The sequence below is a fragment of the Homo sapiens genome, chromosome 11 (genome assembly GCF_000001405.40).
Source record: "Homo sapiens chromosome 11, GRCh38.p14 Primary Assembly".
In the NCBI taxonomy this organism is placed as follows: domain Eukaryota; kingdom Metazoa; phylum Chordata; class Mammalia; order Primates; family Hominidae; genus Homo; species Homo sapiens.
In genome coordinates this window covers 12,892,637-12,906,585 of record NC_000011.10, presented here as the reverse complement: position 1 = coordinate 12,906,585, position 13,949 = coordinate 12,892,637, and the positions used below count along the sequence as shown (strand labels likewise).

At 43.0% G+C, this 13,949-nt stretch overlaps 1 protein-coding gene and 1 pseudogene across 1 annotated transcript in view; one reads left to right on the top strand and one right to left on the bottom strand.

Moving 5' to 3' along the window:
* The window catches only part of TEAD1 (TEA domain transcription factor 1), a 270,317-nt gene that overhangs the window by 38,152 nt on the left and 218,216 nt on the right, over positions 1–13,949 (bottom strand). Inside the window, 1 exon segment of the mRNA NM_021961.6 lies at positions 4,473–4,646. Within this exon segment, the coding sequence (NP_068780.2) occupies positions 4,473–4,646 (174 nt within the window).
* On the top strand, positions 1,598–1,769 carry LOC124900312 (uncharacterized; annotated as a pseudogene).

Genomic DNA, 13,949 nt, shown 5'->3' with positions numbered 1-13,949 from the left:
TAATTAAATTGTACTTTTCTTTCTTTCTTTTTTTTTTTTTTTTTGAGAAGGAGTCTCACTCTGTCGCCCAGGCTAGAGTGCAGTGGCGTGATCTTTGGCTCACTGCAACCTCCGCCTCCCAGGTTCACGCCATTCTCCTGCCTCAGCCTCCCAAGTAGCTGGGACTAGAGGGGCCCGCCACCACACCCGGCTAATTTTTTGTATTTTTAGTAGGGATGGGGTTTCACCGTGTTAGCCAGGATGGTCTTGATCTCCTGACCTCATGATCTGCCCATCTCGGCCTCCCAAAGTGCTAGGATTACAGGTGTGAGCCACCACGCCAGGCCTAAATTGTACATTTAACATGAGTGATCTTTATAGTATATAAATTATACCTCAATAAGGCTCTTTAGAAAGATCTTAACAGATAAACAGCCATTCATACGGGCTTTAAGGGGTCCCACACCATGAAGGCATGAGACACTGTAAAGCTTATATGGTAGAGGGGTACTCATGCTGGCATCCTTGACTCTGTTATTCATTTATGCTCTGGGGCCTGGGATGCCAGTAGAATCTTCCACCCTAAAATCAGTGGAGTGACTACTACTTGGCTCATCACCATCCCATTCGCCTCCAAGTGTCAACTGGCAGAACTGAGGTGCCTGCATCTGGGGCTTAAATGCAGGTACTTTAGGTAACACATAGTATTCTTCCATAGCAAACCCCTCACGTGGTCTAGCCTGACCGAGCCCAGGTTGGACGTAGCAGATATTCTGAAAACCAAATTCAGGAACGATCAAATAAACAGGTAAGAGTCAGGCTGATACTGACAGCCTAGAGACTTTAGGCCATTTGAAAAAGAGAGAAGAAAAGGACTGGGTATAGAGTCTCTGTTGTAACAAAAATAAGCACATCTGCTAAGCATATTGCTAAAAGATATTTCGAAGGGAGTGTTAAACCTACTTCGGAAACACCCACTGGAAGCACCTACTGATATCCAAGGATAGATATTCTAAATGTAATTCATTCTTACTGAGTCATTAGAGGAAGCCAATGACATTTCAAATTGCAAACCGAATTTAAATTGCCTTCCCTCCTTTATTTTAACATAGTTATGACTGAATTTCTTTATAAAGGTTAAATATTCCTAACAACTCTACTGAAGGAGTGATGTTTTCTATCATATTCATGGAAGTTCTCCATTTTAATTCTGCAAATCTTAATAAACAAGTATCTGATCTCGGAGTAACTGTTTCTAAATTTGCACATCTCCCAACAGCTACCATACTCTAAACATCTGCAATCTAGACTTTGTTATTTGAGGATTCATGACTGAAGGGCCCCACCATGGAAAACATTTATTAAAATCATCCACTGGGTAAAATAAGGGCAATTTTGGAGGCAAAACCAAAAAAGACTTTCTAAGCGCACTCTATGCTACTTTATATTCAAACAATATGCTAATTATCAGAAACCTTATTTAAAAACACTACTGTTGAATTTGAAATTACTGAAAATGGTTTCTCTTCATAACATTCTATAATTCCGAATTAGCTTTTCATTCACTTGGATAAACAACCCCTTTTTACATCCTTTAAAATAGTGGCTCTCAAACTTTTTGATCACAGGACCCCTTTACACTCGTAAATAAATTATTGATGTACCAGACAGCCTGACCCTGACCTCAAGTAAATTCCCAGGAGACGCCTTTCCTGGGTTTTGAATTTGCCGTAACAGGTGTGAGCATTCTAGCAGCAGTTTGGTGATCATGTACGATACTGCAAACAGGACCAAATAAATTATTGAGGACCTCAAAGACCTTTTGCTTACTACAGGTTATATCTATATTTTCTGTACTGGAAATTAAAACTGAGCAAATTTTAAAATATTCATTCATTTTAAGAAATAATAAGCTAATTACATGTTGATATACATCTTTTTAAAAAAATTAAACATGCCTGTATTTTTAAAAAATTAGTGAGACAGGTAGTGCTGCTTTACATTATGTGACAGACTCCTCAGATAACAGTGGTCATTTTCCTTTGATACTATATCAAAAGTCAACAAGCAGTAGTAGTTTCTTAATGGTAGGCTGGAATATGGAGTCTGAAACCATATCAATGAATTTTTCCAACTCTGTTACATTAAAATCCATTGCTCTAACACAATATCAAATTACATTTTGTCAATATCATCGTGGATCTCATCAGAAAAGTCTTTAAGTACTGAGAAGTTCACTAAGGTAGGCACAAATTTCCCAGTATTCTAATTTTCATTTGAAAGCCCAAATTTTATCTTTGGCAACAAATAATGTCATTTGTTTTCCTTGATGTGATAAAACTTATGTGTTCACTTTCAATGTGTACTCTAGGTTGTAATAAAATTCATGAAGGACTTTTTTTTTCAACTGCATGAATTTTAGCAGCAAAGCCACTGCTCTGATTCATACTAAAGCAGTTCTATCCCACTGCTCTTGTACCATCAGTGTGAATATAAGCAGAATGGAAAAGGCAAATCATGTCTTTGTATTATAACAAAAATAGTTTTGACCTTGTCAACCCATTAAAATGATATCAAGGAACTCCCTAGGGGTTCGCAGGCCACATTTTGAAAGCTACCCTGTTACCATATAACTGATCTCCAACCACCATCCAAATTACTAGAAGGCAGCCACCAATTCAGAAAAGGAAAATGTGACTGTGATCGCTTTTTCAGGTTGTCCATGTGTATTACAGATCCAACATCCATTAATATAAGTAGAAGGCTACATCTACTATCCAAATTTCTTTTTTTTTGGAACAGGGTCTTGCTCTGTTACTCAGGCTGGAGTGCAGGGGCACAATCATAGCTCAGTGCAGCTTCGACCTCCTGGGCTCAAGCTATCCTCCCACCTCAGCCTCCTGAGTAGCTCAGACTACAGGTGTGCACCACCACGCCTGACTAATTTTGTATTTTTCGTAGACAGGGTTTCACTATTTGGCCCAGGCTGGTCTTAAACTCCTGAGCTCATGTAATACCCCTGCCTCAGCCTCCCAAAGTGCTGGAATTACAGGCGTGAGCCACTGTGCCTGGACTACTAACCAAATTTCAATAATGGAAGCACAAAAAATGAAATCTAGTTATCATGGAAGGCTAAAAGAAACGAAACAAACTAATTTAATATGCAAATTTCCTTCCAAGGAATCTAAAACATAAATTTTTCTTTAATTCATCCATTTGTTCTCACATCTGTTGGGCTTTGTTGTGTAAGGTTCTTGCTTGGTATAGAGATACGTAGAGGCTTAGGTTGACAGATCCTGTGGTCAGGGTCCACAAGGGATTATGCAACGAGGAAACAGAGCAGAGGCATTAAAGTCACACAGATCTGATGTCAAGCTCCAGGTACCCAACCTACAAGCCTGTCTCTGGTGATCTACGAGCCTTTTTTCCTAGGTGGAGCTGAGGCAAATTCCACCTAAAACGTGGAGGATGAAATGAAATGCACGTAAAGCATTCAGCACAGCTCCTAGCACAAAGCAAGCATTCAATAAAAAAGGAAGCCACTATATGAATAAGGCCCCCTGAGGCAGAGCCCAGAGGAAGGGGGACACCTCCAAACAATCATGACACAGCATGGGAAGTGATTACCAAATGCAATGGGATTAAAAGAGAAATCAATGGTCTGCTCAAATGGGGAAGGTTCTATTATAGTGGAGCTATTGTCTCATGGAGGAGAAGGAGCTGGCCCAGTGGTACAGGGAGAAAGGAGCAGAAAGTCCATCTAGACAAACAGAAGGCAGAGCATAGACTGGACAGGTGGGGCAACAGGGGTTTGGCAGGACACAAGAGGAAGCTACCCTGGAACCAGGTCGCTTAGGGCCTTTAATGCCATGCTAAGGGGCACAAACACTTAAAACAGTTTTAAAAAAAAATGTGTGTAAAGGCTGAGGAATCATAAACTCGCAGCGCTAGCAGGTTATCTGGTGCCCCAATCCCTTAGCACACACACATTATACTTATGCCCATTCTGACCCATTAGCATTCCCCTGGCCCAAGGCTGACTAGTGCCAAAGGGTGGCAAAGCTCCTCTCAGAGGCTCTGGAACATCAGCAAAGCTGCAGCAGCCAGGGGACTTTGCCCGTCATTTTAAAGCACAAATGAAGTATACACTGGGCAAAGCAATTCTGTTTCCTCTCTGATGCTTACAAAATCTTGAAGCATGTAACTTTATTTTCATCCCAGCTCCGGGAATTTAAGTGAAGTCCAAAGAGGCTGCTTGTCCCTTGTGCCCTTTGGCAGGGACAGAGAATGTCACCCAGGTGCACCATGTGGATGCATAAGGCCGGCATGAGGACAGTTCACAGGTGTGAGTCCGTGCTCCCTTGGCAATTGTGCAGAAGCACATGAAGGTGCACTCAGTGTAAATCCAAAGCCAGCTGTGCTGCACTGTGCTCATGTAAGAGATGTGACCATTCAGACAAAAACCACGGAAATCACAGCAATGTCTTACTCACCCAGAATTTTACGAGGAAGAAGGCATTTTGAGGGCCCTTTCCAAACAGTTCCTTTAAGCCACCTTTCTTTTCAGGAAATTTGTCATAAATCTGACGAATGTCCACTGATTCAAGCAATGGGTCACTGTAAGAATGGTTGGCATGCCCAATGTGCACGAAGAGGTGTTTGTTGTACTGTAAGAAACCAACAGAAACATTCCCATTACAAACTCTTTGATCAACCTGGAACTCATCCATCTTGAACTGGATAAAGAGCAGTAGTACCAAAATTCTGGAATTAGGCCTTCCAGTCCAGGATCAATGCTTTTGAAATGATGAGTATGTTTAGAAAAGCGATTATAGCTTAGGGTTGAGACAATCATTGCTTTTTACTGACAAGGGCATATATTTTCCGAAATATCTAAAAAAGGCTTTTTTGCGGACACATTAATAACAACAGCTTAAGTTACCCAGCTACCAAACCAAGAAACAATTGTATTACCCAATTTCACCTGACCCAACTGAAAATGAAAGTGATACTCTTTGGAGCCCAATAAGAAATCTGTGTGCAGTTAGCTCATGTCATAACCCAGAATGCACTTCTTGTCCCAACTCTCCTGGGACAGCGTAGATACAGTGGTCTGAGCAATGGTACCCACTTCCTTCTTCCAGCAGGAATAAGAGTGCTGAGCCTCTTTGTCACCAGTCCCCTTAGTAACCAATCCAAAACTTCTACATAAGGGCTGCTCAATATGTCACTGTCAGTGCAAAGTTAGGACTGGGGTACAGATCACAGAGAAGATCTACAAGGCCATACATGGCTGATGAAAAAGAACACAGGTCACTCATTCATGAAAAAACAAACAAAAAACTCTAAACCACATTAAGTCATTTCACTCACAAAGTGAACCCTTTTCTTCCCCTTGCTTTGGGATAAGACATGGTAACTGGACCACAAAGGAGTGTGTCCAAACCAATGGTTCTCAACCCAGGCTACATCAGAATACCCAAGGATCATTTAAACATCACAAAGGCCTGGGCATAATCTGGATTAAACTGGAATCCCTGAGAGAGGCCAAACATCATAATTTTTAAAGCTTCTTCAGTGAATTCCAATACACAGCCAAATTTGAGACCACTGGTCTAGACGTTATACTCCAGACTCTTCGGGCATGCCTCTCCCACTGAATAGGCATTAATACCAACTTAATGTGACACAGACCAAGAAACCTGGGGATGCAGAGGCTCCATGGGCCTCAGAACCAAATAGGGTTCACTGAGAAACTCCATCCGCCTTCTTTATCTAGCAGTCCAAGTCTGCTCACATTCCAAGTTAAAACTGGCAATTCTCCAACTACTGTCCCTGAGTACTAATCTATTCCACAGGAAGTCCCAACTAACAGAAGGCTTGGGCAAAGCTGAGTATTATACATGGGTTAAGAATGTACAGTCCATGGAACTTAATCACTGGGACCTGCTTTAAAAAAAAAAAGATTGTGTGGGTCTAGACTCATCCTACTCAAGCACAAAACACTGCCCAAGGCAAACTAGCTATGATACTGCGCAAGTGCCTCTCAAGTCTCTAAAATGGGGACAGTGATGGCATTCACTTCACTGGATTGTTACAGGGTTTAAATAAGACACTCCACAGACTTCATCAGGGATCCTAGATCTAACAAGAATAAGCAGTCAATAAAATCTAGCTATTATTCTTTTAATAAGACCTCTCTTAGAGATTCACAGTAAATACTAGCGTATTAAAAGCAGTGCCATTGACTGGCCATGGTGGCTCATGCCTTTAATATCAGCACTTTGGAAGGCCAAGGAGGGAAACTCATTCAAGCCCAAGAGTTTGAGACCAGCCTGGACAACACAGTGAGACATCTCTACCAGAAAAAAAAAAAAAATCACCAGGTGTGGTGGTGCATGCCTGTAGTTCCAGCTACCTGGGAGGCTAAAGCAGGAGGATCACTTGAGCCTGGAAGATCGAAGGTGTAATGGAGCTATGATCATGCTGTTGCACTCCAGCCTGGGCAACACAGTAAGACCTTGTCTCTTAAAAAGGCACTTCCATAAAGAAACATTTTTAAACATATAATCTAGAGTTTCTCAAACTCAGTTGGTCACAAAACCCTATGAAATATATCCTGAAGGAATACTGGTTTAAATCTATAACCTGCTACCCACATTTGGATCTCTGGCCACCATGCCAAAAGACAGGAGGCTGGACACTCCATCTGATGCCAGTGTTGCATATAAGGGGCAGTGCAACTGAGGCCAGTATCTTTTGGAGAGGGCCAGGTCCCTCTCCTGTTCAACATCAGAGTGGTATCTTTTCCAAAGCTTCAAAAATCCTAAAAGGTATCAGGTGAGGTGAAAGAGAGAACCCTATCAAGCTCTGACATGGATGCAGCTGCATGGACTAGCCACCTGGCAGGTAAGACAGAAGCTGGGAGATACTATAAAACAACAGGGTCTGCCTCAGAAGGAAGAAATTATTTTTAAAAAGGTTAAAAGTAAAAGCCATTGTGTTAGGGAAGTGAGATTATGGGGGTGGGAAGAGGTGAGATTATAAGGGTAGGAGGGAACATCTTTGAGCTTTTTATACATTTTTTCAAATGTTGCCACATCACTTTTTCCAATTATAAACAACAGCCCATGGAAATGTATGAGACACAGTCACAGCTGCTAAGAAGCTTCTAGTCTTTCTAGTCTCAGTGGGCAAAAGTAAAAAAGAATAACATGGGCAAAGGTGTGGGCACAGACGTTGGTATAAAGGCAATCAGAAACACAAAATGGAATGGGGAGTACAGGGCAAAAGGCATTGTTTATTACCTAGACAACTGGCTATGTATCCGTCCATCCAACCCTGATTAACAACCTCTGCTTACAGCTAGCTCTCAGACCGCCCCAGTTCCAGAAGGCACCGCTTCTGTCCATTCTAGCGCCTTCTGCAAGGAGTGAGTTTATGGAAGGCATGAGATACAAGCCTTAGGGACTCACTGAGCTGAATCCCAGTCTCCCTTTAGGCTCCTCACTCCTAGCTGTTCTGCCTCGCTAGCTGCCCCTGGGCCAGGTCAGAGCTGGGGTGAAGTTGAGAAGCTGGGAAACTTGAAGTCTTTGTGCTTAACATCAAAATGTCCCTGCACTGCACTGCTGGAAATGGGAACCACGGCCCTGACATCTACAGGTCAAGAAGGTGAATGGGGGTAAAATCTACCACATACCAATGGGGACCATGAAGGTACAGCTGAAAAGCAAGGTGCTGAGTGTAAAGCACGAAAGCCTTGGAGCCAGACACAAACCTGAAACCTCAAGACTTCTCATATGTGCAATGGGGATATAATACCTGTAATATTTGCAACATATGTGAATATTAAAGGAGCTAATGCTCAGAAGGTGCTTGGCATAGGACCTGCCATATAAGAAATGTTTGATAGGGGCCAGGATTGGTGGCTCACACCTGTAATCCCAGCACTTGGGAGGCTGAGGAGGGTGGATCACTTGAGGTCAGGAGTTCGAGACCAGCCTGGCCAACACGGAGAAACCCCATCTCTACTAAAAATACAAAAATTAGCCGGGTGTGGTGGCACACACCTGTAATCCCAGCTACTCGGGAGGCTGAGGCAGGAGAATTGCTTGAACCCAGGAGACGGAGGCTGCAGTGAGCCAAGATCACACCACTGCACTCCAGCCTGAGCATCAGAGAGATACTCCGTCTCAAAAAAAAAAAAAAGTGTTCATGTTCAATAAATTATAGCTAAGATGACCATTGTTATAGTTTATTATCATGTGACATTCACTAGATCCTGAGGTAGAAGCAAAATAACTTTCCTGCTTTTGCTATCCCTCCTGCCTAGTAAAGAAAAAAGAAACACAAGCCAAGAGCTGGGAGCAAGCAGTGAAGCCAAGTGACTGTTCAAATCCCTGATAATGGCCCACTCATAACCAGCTGCTCAGAGTGTGGGCCTCTCACCTGTGCCTGAAGGAAGGAAGGAAGAGACCTTGTGTCCACTGGGCGCTGTGAGCAATGTGTTGTTTATAGATGTGATCTCAGGTAATCTTTGCCTCATGACGCTGCTGGAGGTGGATTTAATTTAAATCATTTTACAGATGAGGAAATAGAAGCTTAGAGATGAACTGACTTGCCTGAGGTCACACATCCAGGAATAGTCCTGGAGTTAATAAAACTTGGATCTGTCAACACCACAGCCCTTGCGTTTGCTGCAAACATTAATCACACTGTCCCCCAAAAGAAAATGTCTAAGCCTTTCTAACACCGTTAAACCAACGTTTTTTGAAAGTTGATTTGGGAAAGGAACAACAGCAAAAAAACTAAACAGCGTTTTAAAACTTCTATGAAGTTAAATTAGAATTAGTGACAAACATGATTCACAAATGCATCAGATAGAGTCCACAAAGGTTTCTATTTTGAGGAATTTACCTCTGTGTTCAAGGCTGAAATGAATAGAGAAGGGGCAGGCTGTCTTTGCCAAAGGAAACTGGGCACTGTCTCTACAAGGCTGGTGACTTGAAACCAAACTCTGACCATTGGCATCTGAGTGGCTTCACTGCTGCCAAGAGGTGGTGACTCTGTTTCTAAGAATACAAAGTACTACAGAAGGTGCCCTGGAGACCACAGCATTGAAACAAACAGACCACCCTCTCCCCTTCATTCAACCTGGGTAGGTCAGGAATCCCTCTGTCCCCAAATCCAGAAGGCTGAAAGGAAGAAATCTGTATGTTGGGTTCAAGTTTTAATGAAATGAATTCTAAAAACCCTTTGGTGAAGGCTCTATTTCCAGTCTTGCCAGTTCTCCTTATAAGGGAAGTGGGCCAAGGTGGATTATTTATTTGCTTCTCTCCTTCCCAAATAAATCTCGTTTCTTCTCCAGCAGTGGTAGTTTCCCCAAAAGTGAAGGTGGCACATAAAACAAAAAAAGGGCAATTCTATTCTATGGGGCACAAAACAAATACTCATAAGAGAAAACTGGCATTTGGGAAAGAAAACTGGCATTTGGGATCAAGATATGAGCAGAAAAAGGGCGAATGTCAATGACTCACATATGCAAGGCCCAAGACTCGATTTCCTCAATATCCAAAACGGAGGCTAATTTTGACTTCTCCAAAAGAGTCCCCTAGGCACTCAGTAGAGGCACAACTGATTATCAACATCTCAAGGTCAACGATGGAAAAGGTACTCACTCTGCCTGTTTTACAGATTTTAATAGAATGAACCAGCACACCTATCATCCATCATACATGCCAGGCACTGTGCTAGACACCAGGAATCCATGAGCTAACAACAAAGTGCTCATCTTCATAGAACCTACAGAGTGACTGTACAGAGCAAGCTTATTACCTCGATACTTAGAATTCTATCTTTCCCAAATAAATATATGTTCTCATAAATTCCTACAGAGAAGATGGGGATAATAAAGACAGTCAACACCACTTCTACATATCACATGAACTAAATTAGCATTTACCTGCTCTTTTTATAAGAATGACCTTATTCTCCAGCATTAAACATATTGTTCATTAGCAAGGAGAAAATATGTGGAAATCACCTAGAAAACATGAATAAAGTTTCACAAGTCCAAGGCAAAAACCATAATGAACATCAAATTATCCATTACACATGAAAGTAGAATACTCTTTCAGATATTTAAGGTATCAGAAAACTGACCTTCCTTGCAACTTGTTCCCAGGGAGCTATAGGAGGGTATGTTCCTACAAAAGGATGGAATACGTTTTAAAAAGAGATGGGGCCTAACATAGAAGAAAGGTAAAGAAACCAGCCAGGTCAGCAACCAGTCCAGAGTGGATCCGTGGAGCTGAGGACTCCTGGAAGGATGTCACCAAGAGAGCGGACCTGATTTATATCTCACCATCTGGAGAAGAGTATGAGTTCTCCTCGAAACTTTGAGGGTGAATTGGTGTAGCTATGTAAAACTGAACAATTTTTTAAGAAGACAACCATACACCCCAGAAAAAAACGTTTTACAATTAAGGAAATGGTTCCAATATATAACATTAACCACGCTGTGTGCAAAATTTATATGGGTTTGTAAAATTAACTGAATGCTAATTTTTTTTAATGTGATATAAGCACATAGGGTGACTGAAAGGAAGACGGAGGGGGGCATATACTAAATTTAGAGAAAAGCACATAGGGGGACTGAAAGGAAGACGGAGGGGGGCATATACTAAATTTAGAGAACTAAATCGTAGTCTTCTATGTTAAGAAGTCAACAGATGATGCCTAAAATTAATAGAATGAGATATACAATATAAGCATGTTATTTAGAAATGTGGAGGTAAATATATTAATACAAAGAAATGGCTGAAAAGGCTGCAAGCAATGGTCCCCAAAAAGTAGAACTGGAAGGTGAGGAGCCATGAAGGAGCAGAATACTGCTTTTCCTATGGGCCACGTGCTTCAATCTGGCTTATACAATTATTTTATTAAATAAACCACCAATCAAAAACTATCTTGAAAGATTATGGAGTTTTTCTGAGGAAGGGAAAGAACCATAAAAGGAAGCAAAAAACATTACTTCAGGATGTTTACTCTGTGTTAGCCACAAGTTCCTTGGGCTTTAAAGGAGCTCGGGTCAGACTGCAAAGCTTTCCTACAGCTCAAACGCTCAGGACAGCTGGACAGGAGCTGGGACGCTTGTCTGCAGGTAGGGTTCACCAAAAAGATGTTGCACCAGTAAAACCCTACCTGGATCAAGGATGCCACGCAGTACCTGATGCCATCTTAATATGTGGATTTCTATTTTGACTTGGAGAAATGTCCATTTTCTCTTTGTTTTGCTATAATCCCTCCAGTTATTCTTCATAGCAGTTGCAAATAATAATAAAGGTGAATGCAACCCTCGAAAGTCAACCATTCACTTGCAAAGGGCTTCTGAGATACCCGGGGGGGGTTAATAAAGGACTTTCGTCTTCCTTCAAAGCTGCTCTATGGGTCACTTTGTTTCCTGGTCCCTGCTGTTCTTTGCTGCTTAGGGAGCCTGCAGTGAGGAGTGATGAACACCTGGACTGTGGTGTCAGATGGGATCTGGGTTTGAATCTGAGCAGTAGCACCACTTCCTAACTGAGTCATCCAGGGCAAGTGATTATAGCCCTCTCTCTCTGCTGCAGTTTCCACAGCCATAGTGGAAATATGTATACTTAGTAGAACTATAATGCAGGAATAATAATAGTACCTACTGTACTGGAGTGTCAAGAATATTAAATGAGATAATGCAAGGAAAACACATAACACTGTACATAGCACGTAATTTGCTGTTGTTATTACTTTCCGGAAGAATCATGATGTTTCTTTACTTTGGACGAAATAATGTGAAATCAATACGGTCCCTCTGATAACAAAAACCTGGACATACTAAAACTTAAAGCATAAATGAAGACAGGGAAAGTTTCAGACTCATTAAGGCGATTCTGTTCTGATGTTACCATCGGTGCTAGGGTAGTGGCAGTGTGGGGAAGCCTTGTGGGGTCTGGCGTCCGCATTTCCCTCAGGCACACAGTACCCTCTCCAGATACCTGCTTCCTACCTTCCTCTAAGGCATGCAAAGTCTGTTCCCAAAAGTGGAGTGGGGACAGCCTAGGAGGTTGTCCATCACTGTAGATGAAACAAACCACAACAGTACAACTTCCAACAGTGGTCACTGGGGCTTTTTTCTCTTTTTTTTAAAAGGACTGACAATACATTCTAGATGTATTGAATCTAGATGTATTGAACTGATGAAGGCAGTTCAATCTTTGTGGAAAAGGAAGAAAAAGCCCTACAAATCTGCTAGTCCTCAGCATCTGCGAGGTGCCCTCAGACACACCGGGTCCTGCACTGCACCGTCCAACCTGAAGATGGCAGTCTTTTCCTAAATTTGTTCCAAAAATTCTAAGTATTTGAAGAACGTAGTGAAACCTTGAAAAATGACTGCTGTCAAATAATACCAAGAAAAAAATTATAATCCACTTAGGAATTTAAAGAAATCAAGACAAATAACTCATGTCAAGGTATGCTAATGTACAAGCTGGAACAGAACAAGGACAAATCACCTACATTTACTTCTTGTCACGGTCCTGCCTGGAATGTCTGTCCACCTACCCCCCAGGGCAGGCTGGGCAGCCTGCGGTGGCCCCTGGGGGGACAGGGAATGGCTGCGGAGCCAAGCCAAGACAGGTTCCCGCACATTCAGCCCAGGAGCTTGCCTGTGCTCACGGTTCCTGCCCAGGAGAAAGTGAATCTGAAGTGGGTTCTCTCCTCAGCTCACTGTCCAGGGCACCAGCCCTGTTCTGGCCACTTGGCCCTGATATGCCACTTCATCCCATGCCCCTCGTTCTTCCCAGAGAGAAACATCATTGGAAACAAGGAGCAAGTGAATGCCTCCTTCCGGGATCTCACACCGAGATGCATCCTTCCCACCTCCCACTCCCAGCACCATCTCTACAGAGGGGCTGCTGCTTCCTCAGACAGGAGTGTGTCTTCCCCACAGAAGTGCAGCTGAAAGGCCCACCGACTGAGTGAGCAACCAGGAAGGTGCGTGGGGTGCGGACCTGCCAAAGAAAGCAGAGGGGGCCTGACTGGGGCCTCTGTGAAATGTCTATAGAACCCGGATTTCCAGACGCTTTCAGTGGCCTCCTTCCCAAAGGGTAATGAAGAAACAGGGGAAGTGGCCAGAGCATCTTAGAAACACAGTACAATGTCTGCTGCCACAAGAGAGTGTGCCCTGGGCCGGGAGGGGCTCGCAGGTGGCTCGGCAAGGGCTCAGGACTGTGAGGGGCATGGGGGTGCTCCACACTGAGCCATCATCTCCTTCCCCGGGAGACACTCCATCTCCTACGTCCTGCTGGAAGACCAGGCTTGGAAAAACATGAGAAAAACCTGAGAGACATTCAAGGACTAAGCAGAGCCAACCGTTAGATCAGCTGCAGCCTTCCTCCCCAAACCTGGAAGGCCAAATGTACTTTCCGACCACTTATTCCGAAGCATGAGATGGGAACATTAATGACACCTGGGTTAGAATATCTAGGCTCTGCTATTTTTGAGCTGAGTGGCTTGAGGCAAGTTGCTTAACCTTTCTGGGCCCTGGCTTCCTCATCTGAGCAGTGATGAACCCTAGCCTGTCTACAAGGTCAAATGAAACAGTCAATGTGAAAATTCCGCCCAGGCCACACAGAGCTGCACAGATGCTGGTGACCTGGCTTACTGGCATGAGATCACTTCCAAGCCCTGAATTACAGGAGAGAAGGAGCCTCTTTTCTGAAGGACCAGGAACCAGATTTGTTCAAACAGCCATTCTCCACCCCAAGATGGAGCAACTGCCTCAGCAGCCACTATAAAACTAGGAAGCTCCTCCAGAGACACCGGTGCCCTTCTCTGTCCTGCCCAGGATAAAGGCAAGAACCCTCCTGGCAATCGGGAATTAAAACCTTACTGCTGCTGCTTCTTTTTTATTTTTGTTTATTTATTTTTTTGAGACA